Source organism: Homo sapiens, chromosome 8 (genome assembly GCF_000001405.40).
Source record: "Homo sapiens chromosome 8, GRCh38.p14 Primary Assembly".
Taxonomy (NCBI): domain Eukaryota; kingdom Metazoa; phylum Chordata; class Mammalia; order Primates; family Hominidae; genus Homo; species Homo sapiens.
The window spans coordinates 116,102,492-116,124,010 of NC_000008.11; the positions used below are offsets into that span (position 1 = coordinate 116,102,492).

The window sequence follows — 21,519 nt, forward strand, 5'->3', positions numbered from 1 at the left end:
AAGGCCAGATTTATTAAAGGCCAATATAAACAGGTGTGTCTACCATGTTGTATTTAAAAAAATATCATCCTATCTACTTATGGGATTTCTACATCACTGTTTAATCCTTCTATCCACACTGATTTATGATGCTCCGGTTTCCTCTTCCATCAAGAGGGATGGGTGCCCAAAACGAATGGCTTCCCCTTCCTTTAAAGAAACATTCCCACTCACAGTCTCCTCCTTGAAACTCTCAAATGACACTCTGACAATGATTCCTGTTTAACAGGTCGACAGCACCCTTCCCCATGGTTCATTCTGTGGCCCAGGTCCTCCAGGCTTTGGCTATTTATTGTCCATGTCAAATCTTTGTTGGAGTTCAAAGCAAAACTGTTTGTCTCTCAAGTTCAGCCCTCCTAAATGAAGAACACTTGTTTCGTCTCCTCTGAGCATTTCAAAACAAAACAGGACAAAAATCAAGATAGCCTGATGTAATATTAACAGCAATTTCTCACTTACTTACCGAAAAAAAGAAAGAAAGAAAGAAAGAAAAAAGACGCCTTGGTACATTTGGAAGGAAGAAAGCTGAGGATCAAGAGAGAGACTTCCAGCCTGGCCCATTTCCAGGGGTGAGTCTTCCTCAGCTATAATATGGCATTGAGGAGCCAAAAAGCTCTTCATGCCCCCGTGAGGAAGTTGATGGGAGCTCAGGATGCTGGCTGGGAGCTCCCCAGGGCACAAGAGGCCAAGTCACTCTGTAGCAGAGGACTGCAGAGTGGAAAACTCCAGACTGAGATGAGACAGAAGTCACAAATGAACTTCACAAGGTCTGCAGGATCGGTGTGATCAGCAGAAAGAGTGACTTGACTCCCAAGGAGCAATCTCCCTGTCTTGCTCATGCCAAGAGAACAGACTTGTGCCATCAGCAGCAAACACAGCAAGGACAAAGCCAGACCTTCAACATCGAATCAGCAGAGAATACGGAGAACCAGAGGATGCTGTGTGCCTCTGGTGCCATGTTGTATCTTAGCTTTGCCAGAACCTGATGTTATCTGGGGAAAGGGAAAGAAAAGAAGAGGAGAGCAACACTCTGTAAAGCTACTTGCCTCTGAAACACTGGGTTAACCTTAAAGTGACTGAATGAAATCAGAAGTAATTAAATTATCTTGAACTGGAATTAGAGACTCAAGAGAAAGATGTTATATTTTTACCAACTGAATTTGTAACTATAAAGTTTTGCAACCCCTTTGGTGAGATTTTTGACCTCAATAGCCAGAAGATAATTTTTTGCCAAAAGCATTGGGTTTAGGTTTTAAAGAGTTGGTTTCAGATTCTAGATATTTATATGATTTCCTTCTTCCTTCTCCAACCTTCCTTCTTTCAAATGACTTTTCAGAGATCATCTTGTCAAAAAAGCCTTACTGAACCACTCTGTCTAAATAGCTCCTCCTCTGACCACTTTCTCTCCTTTTACCCTGCCTTATTCTTCCCTGAGTGTGTACCACTATATGACGTTTCACTATGTATGCATATTTGCTTATTGTCGTTTTCCCTACTAGAATGAAAGTTCTCCGTGGGCAGAAGTTATATTATTTTGCTTCCAATTGTTCCAGTGCCACTTAGTAAGTGCTCAATAAATAGATGCTGAATAAATTAGTGAATCCAGTATAAATCCCTCAATTTTTCTCTTGCTTTCCTCAGTTATAAGTCAGGGATAAAATTAATATCAATTTGCCAAAATTAAGAAATTAAGGAGAGTGTGCCCATAAAGGTGCTCCAAGAATTATAGACCCAGAAGTAATTGGTAGTTCATGTTTTAATTATTTTTGTGGAAATATTTGACTTGGGGACCTCAAATGATACCAGCAAAAATCCAAAAGGTGTTTATCCACCACGCCTGTGCGAAGTCCAGCTCTGCCCACTGCATTGATTCTGCTCTCCTTTTATTTTGGATTAGCAAGAAGATGGAGCCACTTTTCTGCTGCCATTGCCCTTGGAAATTCAAACTCCTGAGGACCGCCTGCAAGACCTTGAATGATCTGAATTTTGCCTACTTCTTGGAGCTCATCTAATACCACTCTTGTTCTCTAGGATCTAGGTACACTAACCTTTCTGTCTCTTGAAGACTTCAGGTTTGCTTGAGAACTGAGGCCTTTAAGCCTTTCTTTCCACCTGGAAAACTCCCAAAAGAGCTTCACAAGGCTGGGCCCTTTTATAATTTGCAATTCAGTTCAAACATTCATCTCCTCAAATGTCTGTATCCTGAGCTCCTTGGCTAGAATGGTCCTCCCCGGTCACCAGCACATATGCACCAATCAACCAATCTGCCAAAGTCCCTCCTATTCTAGAAGTCAGTGTTATTTTTGACACAGCAATCAAAGCTTAAAATTTTATTGTTTTCATAGCACTTAAATTTTTTTGTCATTTCAGCTTCTAGAAGTTCTTTATCAAAGGAAATTTTTATCAAAGTTTTATTTACTGCACTGAGTTTTTAAAAGCTCTTGCTTTTAAAAAATTATCACCACTCAATACTGGCTTTTGTGTATTATACTTAATTAAATTTTAAATTTTACATGCCCTAAAATGGTTTTAATGACAAATTTATAAACCTACAAAATAAACAGAGATTTCTTTTGTTCTTCCCGGGTCTAACTCAGTCCTTTATGTGTCTCAAAAAGATACAGAAAAAGGTAGCATCTCAAAATATCCTAGATATAAAAATTAATATGATAAGGTCTTAAAATAGCCTGTGAAATAAATTGATGAATCCTGGCTTTCATCTTCAGCTGATCATTGAAGTGTGCTAGGAATTTTGCCTCAGTTCTGTTTTTGTTTTGTTGTTTTTTTTTTTGTTTTTTTTTTTTTTTTAAGACAGAGTCTCGCTCTGTCACCAGGCTGGAGTGCAGTGGCACGATCTTGGCTCACTGCAACCTCCACCTCCCAGGTTCAAGCGATTCTCCTGCCTCGGCCTCCCGAGTAGCTGGGATTACAGACGTGTGCCACCATGCAAGGCTAATTTTTGTACTTTTAGTAGAGATGGGGTTTCGCCATGTTGGCCAGGCTGGTCTTGAATGCCTGACCTCAGGTGATCTGCCTGCCTTGGCCTCCCAGAGTGCTGGGATTACAGGTGTGAGCTACCATGCCTGGCATCAGTTCTTATATTTGACACAGAAATAGTATCATAGAGCAGAAAGACTACTGACCTAATCATTCACTCAGTAAATATTTATTGAATATATCATTTATGCCAGCCACTGAGTGAGACACAGGATGAGCAGGACAGTTATTGGTTTTCTCTTACTGCTTACTGTCTCAAAAGAGAGACATGGGTAAAACCAATATATGTGCAGGAAATAGTTACTTCCCTATAATAGGAATACAAATGAAAAAAGACAAGGTACCATGAGAAAAAGTAATATATCTAGACATAATTTAGATTAGAAGATAATATTTAAAATGATACCCAAAATGATTAGATTGACATTGATTAACAGTAGGGATCACAGCCTGCAAGGCACAGAGGACTGACTGAGCAAAATCCCTGGGACAGAAGAACTTGATAATGTTTCCATTTTTAAAATTCTACTTCTAACTCCTTCAGCATTTACTCATTAGATTTGGGAAAATCACGTTGTCTTTCAAATCAAGCCTTATCTTCTACAAAATAGGGAAAATAAAATGAAAATACATTTGGCAGAAGAAAATGAAACACAGTGTATTAAAATGTTGTCAAAAAAATTACGAGGCTACGTGAACAGCATTGAGGCTTTAGATAATGCTTTTGCAGTTTTTATTACACTAACCTTCCCATACATAGTAATTTTAAACTCAGGAAAGAATGAAAATAATCAGTTTGAAGATACTAGAGAGTGATCAATAGCAGATAATAGAATAGTTGCTAGGGGTTGAGGGTCAGGGATTGCTTAAAGTTTCAGTCAAGAAGATGAATAAGTTCTAGAACTTTGCTGTACAACAGTGTATCTATAGTCAACAATACTGTATTATACATGTAAAGATCTGTCAAGAGGATAGATCTCATGTTGTGCTTTTTTACAATTAAAAAATAATAAAGTGGACATCCTCAATCTGACAAAGAGCATTTTTAATAAAAAACCTAGCGTTTACATTATGCTTAATGGTGAAATGTTGAATATGAAATATGTTCCTCCTAAAACTGGAAACTAGGCAAATATTTCCTCTATTCACACTTATATTCAGCATTGTACAGATAGCCCTAATCAGTGAAACAGGGCAAATAAAAGAAAAAGACATCTAGATTTTAAGGAGAGAAGTTTTTTTTCTTTTAATTTGTAGAAAACGTGGTTGTTTCTGTAGAAAATCCTAAGGAATCAGCATAACTATAATAACTTCAGTAAGTTCACAGCATAACTATAATAACTTTAGTAAGTTCACAGATACAAAGTCTGATTTTAAAATTGCTATAAACTATGGTCATCAAGACAGTAGCATAATGAGAGAAAAATACAGCAATGAAACAGAACAAAAAATGTAGGAATATGCCCATACTTACACGATCAATTGACATTTGACAAAGGCACCCAAGGTAATTCAACGGGGAAAGAATAAAAATTTCAACAAATGTTGTTGAAAGAATTGCATTTCTATTAAAAAAAGGAGAGAGAGAGAGAGACTTTAATCTCTTCTCTATCTAATTTGAGATCAATGAGATATCTAAATATAGAAGCTAAAATATACCAGAAAGCATTTTTCCAATTTTGCAGGTAAGCAAAGATCAAACACTATATATATATATATTTTCTTTTTTTTTTTGAGACAGAGTCTGGCTCTGTTGCCCAGGCTGGAGTGCAGTGGCGCGATGTTAGCTCACTGCAACCTCTACCTCCCAGGTTCAAGGGATTCTCCTGCCTCAGCCTCCCGCATAGCTGGGATTACAGGTGCGTGCCATCACGCCTGGCTAATTTTTGTATTTTTAGTAGAGATGAGGTTAATCTATTGGAAATAAGTCTATGTAAACTTAAGTTGTTGTTATTCTCCAAAAAATAAATAATCAGGGTGTTTTTAATGCCTAATTTATAGAAACTTGTATAACCAGATGTTGACTGAGACTTTTCATATTTTGAAAAATTATAGTTTAATACCAAAGCCAAGAAACATGGCACTATGTACTGTGCATTCTAGAGCCAGAAAGCTAATTAGGGCTACTGACTTCTGAGGATGTAGCCTTCCCCTTTTGCCCAAGTTAATATAACATGAACACAGAAGACTGGAAAAGGAGTAAGCTTCATGGAGGCCAAGTGAGAGAGGCTCTGGAAGAGTCACTCATGAAGAACAGAGGCCCTGCTTGGAAAGACACCTGCATGCCATTCCCTGGCTGGACAACACAGCTCATTTTGTGAAGCTCTACAGGGGAGCATGGAAGAGACAGTTCTTGAAAGAGTGCTCTGAGAGATTAGGAGTGCATCAAATTATTGTTCTCAAACATTCTAACCCCACAGTGGACAATAGGGGCTATTTCTTCACGTGTCCCCCGAAGTGGGGAGGAACAGTTGAATATAAACAACCAACCTACTTCTTCCCTAGGCTGTTGGCTAACATATTCCAGCTGAGTTTCAAAGGACTGTAGCATAGCCTAAGATAAGGATAGTACAAACTGACACCATCTCAGCATGCTGTGGTCCTTGGAGGGCACAAGAAAGTGCCACATTGATCCCAGTGGAACTACTTAAAAAGACACTTGAAAGAGAAGGAGCTGTGAGGCTTTCCAGGCCCAGTCAATTGTTGGGACACCCAAAAAGAAGAAAATATTGGGGATATGTACCTTGGGAACAGCTAAAGGCACACATAGTTGTCCCTCTGAGGGAGAAGTTGGAGTGGACTGGGTTGAGCTCAACAAGAAAACCACAAACACTATCTGTGTGCAGAATCCATACAGATCACCTCAATGTCAGAAGCCACCACTAACAAAAGAAAAAAAACATTTCCCCACTGCCAATAAAAGACACATACAAATGCCACCCATCTCTCATCTTTCTGTCACCAATATTGAAATAGCTAGTGTCTCTTCTAAGAGGGAGGATGAGCAATGAGACCATGTTTTCTCTTAACCTTCAAGTATGCCACACTAGATAAAGAGGAGTGGAGCTTTGAATTGGACTTGAGATTTAATTTTAAAATGTTTTTAAATAAAGTGAACTGAGTATTAATCACTAGATGAAAGTGTCCCATAACCAAAATGGCTGAGAAAAGTTTGAATTGGACCAGGCGTCTCTAGTTGCCTGTTATCCAGAAAAATTCAGGAAAGTGGTTAAACGATTTCATATTTACACGTCAGTGAGTTGACTTCTCAATAAACCTGTTATACATGTCATTGTAATTTCATAGTAAAATAGGTGTGGGCCTTAAAATCAAATTATAATAAGCTAAATTTGACATTATTTAATTTAGGAGTTAAGAGCTATAAGCTCATTAGATTCTTTTGATAAGTGATAGTCTTCTCAAGTTATCATTGGGATACCAATGTGAATTATACAAATAGTTATTTTTCATAAGACATTCTGATACGGCAGGCTCAAGGAGTTAGCTGAAAAATTTAGAATTGACCTCTATTCATGTGTGTACCTCTGAATAAAACTCTATGAAAGGGACTTTAAAAATATATTTCATTTGCAATAATTAACTTGAATTCTCCATAAGAAATAATTTAGTTCCATAAGGTTGGCCTTTTTTGGTAACTTTCAAATGAAATCTATTATTTAAACTAAATTCAATCAAACTCATCATAAATATTGAGACTGATTTTTAAGGCCACAAGCCTAAATAACAATCCTTCTATAATTTTAAAGGGTTTAAATGTACCTTACATTTCAATATATAAACCTGTGTATATAGAACTAAAATCATCAAAAGGAAAATTGAAATTCTTCATCTATGATATAATGAATTATAAAATTAAACATAAAGTTAGAAAAGCTCCCAAATCTTAAGAATTGTGGACACACTTCAGAAAATGAGACTGACCAGATATTGACAGAAGAGTAAGAGGACTTCCCAGTTGACAGTAAGTTGATTTGCCCAGCCTTAGGGTCAAGTGTGAAATGATCAGCAGCTGCAAATTAGCAATGTGCCTATGCTTTGTATACACAGATATAATTAGGAGACCAAGGTTGTGTCTGTTTCTATATGTTTGGCAAAATATGCTTATGAAGTCATATTAACAAAATTTTCCAATTGAGATTGCCGCCAAGAGTTTATTTCTTTAATGTGCTGAGACCAAAATGCATCCTCTTCTTGGAAGGTATTCTCATCAATATTTGTGGGGAAAGTCTGAACAAAAACTCCGTTTCACTAAATGGCTATATAATTGCACTTCTGTAGTATGTGTGAACACACTTTATTTCTAGGAGATGCCAAAACTGAATGAAAACTAAAAAAAAAAAAATCAAGTCAGTCATCTGGATGATTAGTGTCATGAGGACATAAACCAAGGCCTGCTGTGGTGAAAGATCTAAGTCCAATCCAACTCCAGAGTAAACAACTGTGTAATTATTATTTATTTTTGAAGAATGTATATTTTCATAAACATACTCAGATTACAAATGGCTTCTCTCATGCAGTTACTATTTTGTCTGTTTGTCTCCCCACTCTCTCTTTCTCTTTTGTCTGTTACGGTACATTATAAGTCATGCTACGGTGCCTCCTGCAACTGCAGACCCAGTCCTACTCCCTCTCTCTATTTAGCACTCAGTGGGGAAAAGTACACATCATTGTGGACTGAGCCAGGAAGACAACGAGGTTTGGTTCAACTATAAGTTTTGAAACAGTAATGAGGGGAAGAAAGAGCTCCCATTATCTGGAGGGGTGGCCTATCTAAAATCACTGTTTCTACTTGGTCTCTCAGCTATGGCCTTATTTTCTGCATAAAAAATTCTGAAGTTAGAAAAAAATAGAGCCCACTGTTTATTCCAAATGAAAACTTTTCCAAGAGCATGACTTAATCAAAATTTTTAAAGCCTATACTCTTATTAGGAAAGTACACTTAGTTGGTCTCCTTGATACAGACAAGAGGCAGGGAAATACTGGGTAGAACAAGTTCCCTGGCAAAGGCCCCACCCTCAAGCCTGGAAACCCACAACCCTAAATGGGAATAGGCATTCCTGTTTTCATCTCCAAATGTTACCTTTTCTAAGACCACTCTGGCCTGCCATGCCCCTATCCTGTGTCCATATAAACCCCATGCTCCATGAGCAGAGGCACAGAGAAGCAGAAGAGCAGTAGAGTGGCAGAGTGGCAGAGCAGTTTGGTAGAGAAGGAGAGAAGAGAAGGAGCATCTGAACATCGAGAGGAGTTTGACTGGAGATGGTTGGAGAGGAGATCAGCTGCGGGATGGCCGAACTCCAGGGGAAGATCATCTTCCCACTCCATCCCCTTTCTAGCTCCCCATCCGTCCCAGTGAAAGCCATCTCCACTACTCAATAAAATCTCCACATTCACCATTCTTCAAGTCCAAATGACCTGATTCTTCCTGGATGTTGACCAAGGACCCAGGTACCAAGAGGGCAGAGTGTAAAAGGCTGTCACCCTGACTCTCCACTGAGCTGGTTTAACACTTAGCCATCTGTGGACAGCAACTGCTAAAAGAGGATGAATTGTAATATACCCCTAGATGCTACATGGGGCTGCAGCCCAAAGTGCTCACCCTGGCTCCTGCACCTGCCTGTCTGCACGCTCCCCATCCCATAAAAGGTTTGAACACATGGCAGCCAAGCAAGTGAGCCGCACCTCTGTTGCAAGTCCTGCGAGGGGGTCAGGGAACTCTCTCCCATTTCACCTTTGACTAAAAAATAATTCTTTCTCAAATAAGGTCGTCAAAGAAGTAGTCTCAGGAGGAACAAGCCTAGATCTGTAGAAGGAAGGAGGATGCATCAGCCTAGTCATTCAGGTCAGCCAAGTTGATGCTGTCAGTGAACAGATTGACAGATGTCCCATCAAAGAACCATCACATGAAATCCAGCCTAAGCTCTACACACCAGCCAAGCCAGGCTACAACCTATAATTGTGGTTACTATTCATATCCTTATATAATTTAATATTTAGTCTTCAAATTACTGATAACTTGTAACACTTTTTTGTGTTGGTTTATGATTTGTCTGATCGATGACATTGTCTTTTTTGTTTGGTTTGGGTTTTTTTTTTTTTTTTTGAGACAGAGTCTTGATCTGTCACACGGACTGGAGTGCAGTGGCACAATCTTGGCTCACTGCAACCTCTGCCTCCCAGGTTCAAGTGACTCTCCTGCCTCAGCCTCCTGAGTAGCTGGGACTACAGGCAAGTGCCAACATGCCCGACTAATTTTTGTATTTTTAGTAGAGATGGGGATTTTGCCATGTTGGCCAGGCTGGTCTCGATCTCCTAACCTCAAGTGATCCGGCTTCCTTGACGTCCAAATTTCTGGGATTACAGGCATGAGCCACTGCACTTGGCCAACACTGTTTGTTTTTGTCTGTTTGTTTGTTTGTTTTTTGTTTTTTGTTTGTTTGTTTGATTTTTACATTGAGTTTCCAAGTTTGAAACAAGATGAAGTCAACAGTGAGGTGGTGAATTATGTATTTCAATGGCTCAGTCATTAATTATGGTGTAGCATTTGGCTAAAGGCAGGAGATAAACAAATATACAGAATTGTCACTTTTTCTTCCTTCTTTACAACCTTGTAATTAGCATATGTGACTCATTTTTCAGTTCTACAGGCTGGTGTCATTCTGATGATTTGGATTTCCGAGACACAATATTAGTTGCCGTGCGGTATGGGGAGTAAAGAATAGCTCCACTGAGGAATATTGATAGCAATTTAGATTTCTACCAAAAACAAAAAATACAGATTCTATTAACTTAAGAATCTATCAATTAGGAAAAAGCCACTAACTAGTTGGAAAGTTGTATTCTTTCCAGAATTAAATCAGAAAGTTAGCCAAGTTATGTAGTATAAGAATAGTAGTTATGTAAGGAAGAATCTATCAGACACGCACACTTCAAAGTTTATACATTTTTACTAGTAAGGCCTCCACAAAGAAGATGGCACCTTTCCCTTTCCCAAACTACAGTGGAAGAAAGGAGGGCGATTAGAGGGAAACCAATGTCTGTTAGTTTATTAATCAGACTTTATTATACTTCCTTTGTTTTGAGTAAACTGGCTAATCCCTATCGTAATGAATGTTACCAAACCCAGTGAGTCATTATAACAAAGTGACCTCAGTTTAGGAATCAGGAGACGTGGTTTAAAGGACAAACCACATTCTGCAAATAATTTTTTTTAAAGGCAGTTTCCTCAAGAAAAGCAACATTGATATATTTTTTTTCCTGTAAGAAGATGGAAAAAGAGAATCCATTTTAATGAATATCTATTTCAACTTAAAAAGTCCTGTGCTGAGGTCAGATTTAAAATACAAATGGAAAAATTGTCAAAATATCCAAAACAAACCTATTTTATTAGTAGACCAGCAGCTAAAAATGAAACACTTATCACACTCCTGCTAACATCTTATTTTAAAATTTGAGTGTTTTCTTTTTCCCATGGAATAATGTGTAGTAATTAAAGCCAGCAAGTCTCTGATTAGTATGAAAATGTTACTCTATTATAAATTAAGAGTAATAATGCCTTCTGTGCACATACCTGGCTAAAACTTGAGGATCTTTAAGAGGTTTTAGTGTGTAGGATGAGGACCTCATCAGCATGAGCACTAGGAAAGGGATGCTAAGAACAGTGGACCTTTCGAAATGCCAAGAACAGTTTGCTTATTTGTAAAATTGGCAGGGCACAGTCACCCAGAAAGAAATTTGGCAAGGGTGTACAGATCTGTCAATAACTGCCATGAGACTCAGGATCTGACTGGCAAGGAAGTTATTCAACCCTATTTGTATTAGTCTATTCTTGCATCACTCTAAAGAAATATCTGAGACTGGGTAATGTGTAAAGAAGAGAGGTTTAATTGACTCACGGTTCCACAGGCTGTACAGGAAGCATGATGGCTTCTGGGGAGGCCTCAGGAAACTTTCAATCATGGCGGAAGGCAAAGGGTAAGTAGGCACATCTTAACATTGCTATGGCAGAAGGAAGAGAGAGAGGGGAGAGGTGCTAGACACTTGTAAACAACCAGATCTCGTGATAACTCACTCTCACCAGGGCAACACCAAGAGGGATGGTGGTAAACCATGAGAAACTGCCCCCCATGATCCAATCACCTCCCACCAGGCCCTACCTCCAACACTGGAGACTGTAATTCAACATGAGATTTGGATGGGGACACAGATCCAAACCATTTCACTATTCTTTAATCATTTTATTTAATACTTAAACTAAATACAGCTGGCCAACTGCTGGCCTAAAGTTCCTCACCATTCTCTTAGCCTCTCCCACCCCCACCTATATAGTACTTGATCCTGCTGACCTGAACCTATATAGGAACCAATATACACAGTGGTTCTGGACATCCATTGAAAGTCTGTTGAATATGATGCTCTGTTTCTTCATGCCGCTTGTCCATGGACTCCTAACCTTTTTTAAGATACCCATAAAGCAAGTAATTAAGAGCAAGCCACAAGGTTAGAAAGACACAGTACACATTTTCCCTTGGAGTCACTTAAGCCATTTACCCCTGTTGCACTTTCACAGCATCATATATACTTCTTTTAGCTATTTTATCATTATGATATTATACGTATTTGTATAATCTTTTGATACAGCTATCCCTCGGTGATGCACAGCACAGTGTATCTTCCCCCCATCTGTCTTGTGTTGTACTCTGCCTTCGATTTCAGAAAAAAAAAAAGAACCGTTAATTGAATTAATAGTGTATAACAGGTACATAATATGCTTTGTAGAATAAATGGATAATCGATTATCAAGTGGGTTACTTTTAGCTCAGAAAGACTCATCTACCGAATTTTAAAGCATATAAAATCTGGGGTATGTTCACTTTATCGAAAATACTATAAAATTTCACTAGGACAGGATACATTTGGAATCTTTGCACACCCTTAGGGCTTTCATTTTTCTTTGAATTGTCCATGACCTATAAGTTTGCTAAGCAAATTAATTGTGTAAGCAAGTTTCCAAGAAATGTAAACAATATTACAGAGGATGTTCAAATTACTAAAGTTAAAATCTTTTCAAAATACTTGGAAGGCATCAAATTGTATTTAAATACAGTACTATGCTATCCATTGCACTTTAATCTAATTCATAAATCTTCAGGTTTTTTCCAGATAACCCATCCTCAGCAGTTGCCTCTAGTTATTTTGTGGAGTCAAGAACAGTAAAGTTGGATTTCGAGACCCACCTTTCAGTGAATTCAGATGGCCCCTTCTCCAGTTGGTCTGAATTAGGGAAGTTTTAATGCATATTTATTTGGATATGTTAAAATTATTCTCCAAGGAGGATGGAAAAGACTGATATATACACTCTGGGTCAAATGGATTCAAGTCCTATTATTTTAGGCCTCTGAAAAAGATTACAAGTGAAGCTGAACCTGGAGTGGTCCAGTCAAGAAATCATATCATAGATTAGAGCTGTATTAGTCAAAGCATGGCCCATTATGTGCAAGCTTTACAGAAATTCATGGGTGCTACTCCAGATCTACTGATTCAGAAGCTGTTATAGGATTAAGAATCTGTGTTTGAAGAGGGTTTTAAATGCTGGAGTTTGGAAACTGCTGGGTTAGAGCATTGGTCTCCAGCTGCTGTGTTCTTGCCTAAGAGATATGTACAAATGAAAAATATACATAATTGTGTAAGCAAAAATATTAGAATTTCTCTTATACATATATATACATGATCAGTTTCCATTTTCTATTTTTGTAAATGCTTTATAGTACTTTATATAGAAGTACATATATAACATAAAAATAAACAAATATACATTATAGATGCTAAAATGTTTACTTATGGAGTAGACAATCAAAAAAAGTTTGGAAATACTGAGTCCAGAACATAGTAAATATCCATTTAATCTTTTGGAATGCAAATCCATTGTGTCTGGTTATAAACTATTTAAAATGGATGCTCTTTTCAGCAAAAGAAAATACAAGAAACATACCAAGAGTTTAGCACGGATTGCAATCTTTTAGCATTCTCCTTAAAAATAAAATGAAACTATTCTACAAGTACACTTCAAGCCTGTTTTTCTGAGGAGGATGTTAGCAAGGTTTAAAAGGGCATGCAACTGAGGGAACTACCTATTATGGACCCAAATGAAGTCAGGTGATTTAGAGCAAATAAAGAATTAGGTGCCTTGAGAGAAAAAAAAATCAAACAATGGAAGTAAACAGGGGTTTACGTTCTCCTGTCTAATGGCTAGGAACAATTAGTTTGGGGAGCTGTAAGAGCACTGCAAAATTTAAAGAAGGTGGAGCAAGCCTGTAAGTACAGACTTAGCAGCTTAACATGCAATTCCCAGTAACAAAGACTCCCGTTCCCCATAACTGGTGAAATTGACTTCAGCTGTTGGGGTGAAGCAGTTCTTGATTTGAAGCATAGGGGAAAATCTCTTAAGAGCCTACAGAGTACGATCTTCCCTTTGTTATTTTTCCCCCCGTCTGTCTTGTGTTGTACTCTGCCTTCGATTTAAGAAACAAATAAATAAAAAGAGGACTGTAATTGAATTAAGAACAGTGAGTCCCAAACTGCATAGTTCTTCACTTGAGACCAAAAGAAGATTTGGTTTTGATCTTAGAGTAACCAGATGCCTCACTTTTAACAAATTCCCTTGACTTAACACACAAGTGCCCTTACCCAATCAAACAACAACAAAAAAAATTGTGTAACAAAATTAAGGGGGAGGAAGTGGGTAAAAACAGCAAATGTTTCCCTTTTTCAAAGTGTGGGAATAGAAATATTCTCTTCTTTGGGTCTAAATATAAGTTTGCTTGCATTGATTTGTAGTAGAGAAATCAGAAATCAGGATGCTAAAAATCAAAGCAGAAAGACTAGGAGACAACTAAAATTTGGACAGGTATATATCTATTTATATTATTATCTAATGCTGAGAAAAAAATTCTCCTAATATCATTTAAATGTTGTAAAATACATGAACATCTATTAAATGGATTTTTGACTCATTTTTGTCAGTTTTTGAGATGCTTGTTGCTATTTAACATAAGCCTTGACTTCTTTATATTGTAAGATTCTTGGGTAATTATTTCCTACAGAGACCCTAGTTCTGATGAATGCTTATCCAAATGCAGTGTTACAATTCTTATTTTATTTTTTGCAGTTCATTGTCTTCATTTCAAGAGTATATGTAAAATAGTAAAAAAGAAAAAAAATCCTTCTTGAGTAGGAAGGTGTCCCTGACTTTATATTGTTTATTTGACCACCTTATTGCTTATCTTGATCTTAAAAGTTGATCTTAAAAAGTTCTAAACAATAAGTCACTATCAAAAGAAAAATTTTTTTTTTAAATGGGCCTTCCTATCTTTCATTCTCTGTCTGTGTCTCTGCCTCTGTCTCTCTTTCTCTCTCTGTTGGCCAAGGTAATAAAAGGCTCAAAAAGTAAGAGAACTTTTTTGTATATCTCCATGAATGATAGAGTGAAAGGGGGAGGGGGGAGAGAGAGGAAATGTGCCCAGAGCTTTAAAGAAACAGAAATGGAGAATACAAAAAGTACTTCCACCCTTTCTGTTTGTACTCTAAAAGTTTTTACAGTAACCATGCTGCAAGTCAGGGGATCACAGGATCCTTTATTAGCAACTGCCGAAAACTTATCTTGAAGGCACAACTGGTGTTTGGTTGTTGTGCATGGTTTCTAAACCACTGTTTTATGGGTGTGAAATCAGATGAAATATGTTTATGAGGTTTTGACCCAGATATTCCCTTCTAAGTTTTGCCAAGATATTATATGCTTGGATCTTTTACCATATTTACTTAAATAAATACATTGAGGTTAAGTGCAAACTTGAGACTAAAACATGCTATATTTGTTCTCAGTCAAAAGCTCACACGTGGAGCTTAGCTGTGTGTGTATGTGTGTGTGTATGTTCATCTCTGTTTATAGGTTCATGTACTAGTTTTCTAAGACCAAGCTTACGCACGTTGAAGTGGAATGGAGTGCTTGCCATTATCCAGTCGATTTCATCTGCTGTTGCAAATTTCATTACTGAAATTTACTCATAAGCACTAACAATCCAAGCTACTGTCAGTGATTATCCACCTTAAAATAATTTTTGAATTCTAAATCTCTTTTACAAAAGCTATCATTAAGTTTCACAAACTCAAGGCTTTTTAACGAAGTGGCTTCTAATGTACAAAAGCTTTTAACAGTTTCTTTAAAAAGTCCAGTTGGAGCTTCAGCCATGATTTCTTCATTTTTTTGCCATCATAATCTGCTCCATATTATTTTTCAGGTTCATCTTATGGGATGTGTGCAGTCTATTCTTTTAGTGGAAATATATTTTAAAACCTCAGGCATTTTTACAAAAGAGTAGATGGTAATTTGGCAGATGATGGTCAAATGTTTAATGAGCAATTATCATGTTCGTATATGATAGTGCAATGCTTAGAATTGCTTTAAACTCAACATTAATTGGCCAAACCATAAAACTCCTAAATCTTTAGTATTATTAATCTGTTTATACTGATATAATGTTTGGGCAAGTTTTTCAGCACATATCTTAAACTGAACAGAACAAAATTTCTACAAGCCAAATATAGGGAAAAGATTGCCAATTCTTAATTTGATGACTACAAAAAAACAAACTCATTATATAAAGAACATAAAGCTGAGCAAAGACTAATAGATTAGCACATTGCTCATGAAGACCGTTATCAGCAATGAAGGGGCTTTGGGTAAACTACTTCCTCTCTTCCCTGTCTTTCTAGAACAGATTAATTAGTTACTTGCTTACTTTCCACTTTACGATGTGCTGTGTAAATTTGGCCTAATGGTGTCATGTCTGATGAATATGAATGTAGCTGCAAAAGTTAACAGGGAAACAAATATCTGCCCTTACTTCTATTTCAGAGTCTACTTTTATCTGACTATAGCTCCTACAGCCAGCCCCACCAGGAGTTTTACCTCCTCTAGACCTCTTAGACAAATTTTAAAGATGTTTTTAGATATGTTAGTTTTGGAAAAAATTAAATTAGAGGTTCATTTTGGGAAAAACATACACACACATAGCAGAATCATTAATAATAAATAGTATATGAACCTCATCAACAAGCAATACAGAATTTAATATTTCTGTAGGCATATGTCATTTCAGAACTTTCTGTCATTTAATATCATTTAACAATAATTTTTCTGTTGCATAAACGTGTCAAAATTTATTGAACTCATCCCTTATTTTAACATTTGGCTTATTCAAAGTTCTTGCTATTAAAATCAATATGCAAAATATCTTATAAGTCCAGGTGCAGTTGCTCATGCCTCTAATCCCAGCACTTTCGGAAGCCGAGGCAGACAGATCATTTGAGTCCAGGAGTTCCAGACCAGCCTGGCCAACATGGCGAAACCCCATCTCTACTAAAAATACAAAAATTAGCTGGGAGTGGCAGGCACGTATAATCCCAGCTACTCTGGAGACTGAGGCAGGAGAATCACTTGAGCCCAGGAGGCAGAGGCAGCCTGGGCAACAGAGCAAGACTTTGTCTCAAAAAAAAAAAAAATCTCATGAGATAACTTTTGTGAACATTCTTATCTACTAAGATCAATTCAACAAAATGGAAGTGCTTTTGCACATTTTATTTTTCTTACAAAAAGTTTGTAACAATCGCCCTCCCAGCAGCTGTGTCTGAGGGTGCCCCCCTCTTTGTCCCCTTGTTAACACTGGTGAATAAGTATTAAACATCAAACAAGAACAGCAACAAAACAGTGTCTTCAGCCATTTCTTTCACTCAGAAAAAAATTACGTGGGACATTTTTCATGTTGGTCTGGTTCTGGCTAATGAAGAAGAAAATATTGCAAGCAGTCATCCCCATAAACTGGGAGCATATGGGAGGAGACTTGAGAGCAGGGAAAGTACAGCACTCTGTTGGGTGAAATAGGAAGACTTTACATGAAGTTAACATGAAGACTTCAGACACTGCTAATGACAATAGCCTCAGCCCTGAGGTAGATTACTTTTTTCAACAACTACTTACCAACAGTCATAAAAAAAAATGTTGTTTTTCACCATCCTCTGCCTCTTCCCCAAGCCCCTGCCACCAAATATCAAATAATGATAGGCTGGGTGTGGTGGTTCATACCTGTAATCCCAGCACTTTGGGATGCTGAGGCAGACGGATCACTTGAGGTCAGGAGTTCGAGACCAGCCTGTCACCACGGTGAAACCCTGTCTCTACTAAAAATACAAACAATTAGTTGGGCATTGTGGCACTTGCCTGTAATCCTAGCTACTCAGGAGGCTGAGGCAGGAGAATCACTTGAACCTGGGAGGTGGAGATTGCAGTGAGCCAAGATTACACCATTGCACTACAGCCTGGGTGACAGAGCAAGACTTTGTCTCAAATAATAACAATAATTATGAAATAAATAAATAAATAAAAATTAAAAAATAAAATTTAGTCTAAATGCCTTCAGAAGTAGCTAACAATTTGAGATTTTCTTGTATAAGACAGACTTTTGCATTTGAAAATATTTACTTAGAAAAATGATCAAGAAAGTAGACTCTTCTTCTTTAGATGTCTGTTGATATGTATGACGAAATTTAAGGGAATCAAAATAATTCCTTCTGGCGTTTTTGTGTGTTTGTTTTGTGCTTTTTTTGTTGCTGTCGTTTTTGTAGTTTGTGCCCTTTAAACTGAATCCAGATCTAACAATTTTAGGTTGTTATGTAAGAGGGAAAGCATAAAAGCATTTTGCCAAAGTCACCGAAACTATACATCTTTTGGGAGATCTACCACCAAGCAGGCAAGAGAGAGACAATTGGAGAGCAATACTTTTAAGTAGAAGAGAGATTAAAAGCAGATCAAACATTTTGGGCTGAGGTTAGTGCTGTCAGCTCCTTCAAATACTTCCACTTGCATTATAAAGATCTGTGGTACAGACTTGAAGGTGGAACTGGGTTCTAAAATTGGAACCCTAGCCGGAAATCATTATAGTTCTATGATTAATTTATGCAAAAGTGGAATCATACGAAATCATGGCCTGAGCTGGAAATGAGTCCCCACATAAGCCTTCAGAGTTTCTAATGTCAGTTTGCAGTTTATCAGATGCCCTTGCCTGGTGATTGAGCTCGTAGACTGGAGTCAGGCATCACCTTTACACAGACCCTGTGCAGGAATTGGTTCTTTTCTTCAGCTGGTATGTGGTTTCCTGTCTTTTATTTAATGTTTCCAAGGTAATGTTTCCAAATGCATGAGACACAATTTCCTGAGCCTGAATGTGAACAAAATAGAAACTGTATTAACTAGTCCTAGAGGCTCTAGTTTTGGGCCTTAAACACTTACAATCTTGATCTTGTCTGTTTCATTGCATTAAATTCGTTTCTGTGATTAGCAACCTGAGAACATTGATGAATTTTGGCTGTCCTTTGAATCCCAATGTAAATCTATCGTTAGAGCTCAGAGATTTCAGGCTTTTGATGCAGGGAGGAGAACACACAAAAGCTTCTAACAACTACTGGAAAAGTGAAACAATGGCTCCCAGCCACGGTTCTTTTGCATTTGTGCCACAATAAAGTGTTTCACATTGATCTTTCAGTTGTTATGCTCTGAGGAGTATTTGCAGTCAGTAGAAAGAACATCTGTCTACTCAACTCTTAGATATCAGAGTTTTATACTATATACACATACTCTGAGGACTATCTTTCATGTTTATGTAGCATAAAAATATCTGAAGGAGTTCTCCAGAAATTTTTCTCTTGCAAGCTTTTAATATTTTATGTTCACTCGATGTGTTTTTCCATTTTCCATCCTAAGAATTTACTTTTAACCTGTTGAAAGGGTTTTAGTATCTGGTCTCTTGAAAAATACGTTAATAGAGTTTTACTGAAAAGAAACACTGTAATTAGAATGCCATATAAACTTTGATAGCTAAACCACTCAATACCCACTTGAAACAAGATGATATTTTTATTATAAAAGCATTTTTATGGATACTTAAATAAAGGTAAAGGGGTCATATTAGCACATGCTACCACACATCCAGTATTTATCCAGACAGTCTGGAATCCAACAACCTGGTCTGGTGTCTGAGACATGCAAGAAGTCTGGAATGGTGGCGATGACGGCCATGTTCAAATCCCTTTCTTCCTCTTTCTTCATTTTCATTCTTCTCTCTTCTGTCTCTCCTGCCAGATTTTTTAATATTCCACTCGGATTAGGGAACTAAATAGCAATGGCACTACTAGAGGAACTCGAGTCTTTGCTACCCTTCTCCATTGCTAATTTGGAAAGCTTTCTGCAACTCCTGAGCACTGCTTTACCGCTGCCAAACACATTTATAGACTTGTTTGTACCTGCAGAAGAATCACGTATTTCTTAACACTTTGACTAATTCTGTTTTTCAACAATTCAATTAGAAAAGTAAAACTAATAAATACTATTATTGTACCAGTTTCTGTTAAGTAGTTACTGAAGAGATATGATGAACAGCGATAACCCTTCAGCCTGACTTTCCTCAGCAAACATACATACTATTTGAAGGATGCTCCTTCACATTTGTGATGGGAACATCAATAGGATTAGGATTTGCAGCCAAATGTCACTGCCCTGACTTCTAAGAGAAATGTTGTTGCCTGTTCTTTAGAATAAAGTGTTGAGAAAAAAAGACAAAACAGAACTGGAGAAGCTAAAAAGACCTGAAAAATCTGCATTAGAAGAAGCAGAGAATACTTTGAAGAGAAACAAATAGATGTAGAAGTGTGTGTGTGTGTGTGCGTGTGTGTGTGTGTGTGTGTGTAAGAGAAGGATGGGAGAAATTGAAAGAGCGAGAGAGATCATCAATAAAAGGGGGGTTTTGGCCGCTGGCTCACACCTTTAATCCCTGAACCAGGCATGCTGGCTCACACCTGTAATCCCAGAAACTTTGGAGGCCAAGGCCGGCGGATCATCTGAGGTCAGGAGTTCGAGACCAGCCTGGCCAATATGTTGAAACCCCGTCTCTACTGAAAAATACAAAAATTAGCTGAGCGTGGTGGCAGATGCCTGTAATCCCAGCTACTTGGAAGGCTGAGGCAGGAGAATTGCTTGAATCTGGGAGGCGGAGGTTGCAGTAAGCTGAGATCACTCCATTGCACTCCAACCTGGGTGATGAAAGCGAAACTCTGTCTCCAGGAAAAAAAAAAAGCTAAGTTTTAGGGAAAGCATTCTGGGAAACTTCGGGACACGAGAATGACAAGGGACACACTGAGGGAGATGGATGATGGAGAAGAATTTTAAAGATCTGTTGCTCTGTGTCATGCAATATCATCCTGTGTCTGGCAAGCTTAAGGAGCTGCAGTAAAGATGTCAATTGTCTCCGATTTCACATTTGAGGTTGGATTTTATTTCCCCTGAATGCAAGTCTGTGTAGAGGATTGTTTATGGTGTGGCACAATTTTACAGGATATGCCCTTGTTTCTGCATTGCCTTCGAATTGTTTGCTAATTCTTTTATCTGTTTTGTTTTTTTTTGCGGGGGGGTGGGGGTTTCTAACTAAGTTTTAAAACAATTAAGCATTGCACTGCTTTTCTAGCTTTCAACACAGTCTTGGGCACATTTTTGTTATTAATAATGTTCTACCCACCATTCCTTCCCTGATGTGTGTGTGTGTGTGTGAGAGAGACCCTATCTCAGTTTTCTCTTTGAGAATGACTCTTTTCTCCATTCCAAGGGGTCTTGGTGGAACCATTAATCCAGGTGCTTAGGCAGACTCTTGGCCTGCACTTGTTGACAAAGACAGCCTTAACTTCCCTCGCTTCCCAGCTTTTTTTTTTTTTTTTGATGGAGTCTCACTCTGTCACCCAGGCTGGAGTGCAGTGGCATGATCTCAGCTCATTGCAGCCTCCGCCTTCCGGGTTCAAGCAATTCTCCTGCCTCAGCCTCCCGAGTAGCTGGGACTACAGGCATGTGCCACCACGCCTTGCTAATTTTTTTTGTAGTTTTAGTAGAGATGGGGTTTCACCATGTTGGTCAGGTTTGTCTCAAACTCCTGACCTCAAATGATCCACCTGCTTCGGCCTCCCAAAGTGCTGGGATTACAGGCCTGAGCCACCAAGCCCGGCAACCTTTCTCTTTTCTTAGAGCATTTTCCTGAGAAAGCTTATCATTGTATTATGTCTCTTTGATATAGATATATTTTTAAAATCTCTTGCCAATTTTACACCCAAGTCTATCTAGGACCTGAGAGCCAACCCTTTGAAACATAATCATCAAAAGAGATAGTGCCCCTATTTATTTCCTTGTTTTTGTGGGAGGATTGCAGCCTAACTCAGGTGGGTGCCTTGTTCCATGTTGTAAAATCACCTCCTGCCATGAAAATAAGAGAAAGTTGACCTTTCTTTTGGGGAAAGCCAATTAGTAAACAGATAACCTATAATCTCCAAAGAGGTTCTTAAAACCTTAGTTCTTTTTTAAAATTCCAGTTC

The 21,519-nt window shown here is 38.0% G+C and overlaps 1 long non-coding RNA gene across 1 annotated transcript in view; it reads right to left on the minus strand.

Annotated features, from left to right (window-relative positions):
• Window positions 1-21,519, minus strand: part of LINC00536 (long intergenic non-protein coding RNA 536) — a 374,549-nt gene that overhangs the window by 151,981 nt on the left and 201,049 nt on the right. Inside the window, exon 7 of the long non-coding RNA NR_046215.1 lies at window positions 17,198-17,292. This is a non-coding gene — a long non-coding RNA (long intergenic non-protein coding RNA 536). The remainder of the gene's footprint in view (window positions 1-17,197; window positions 17,293-21,519) is intronic.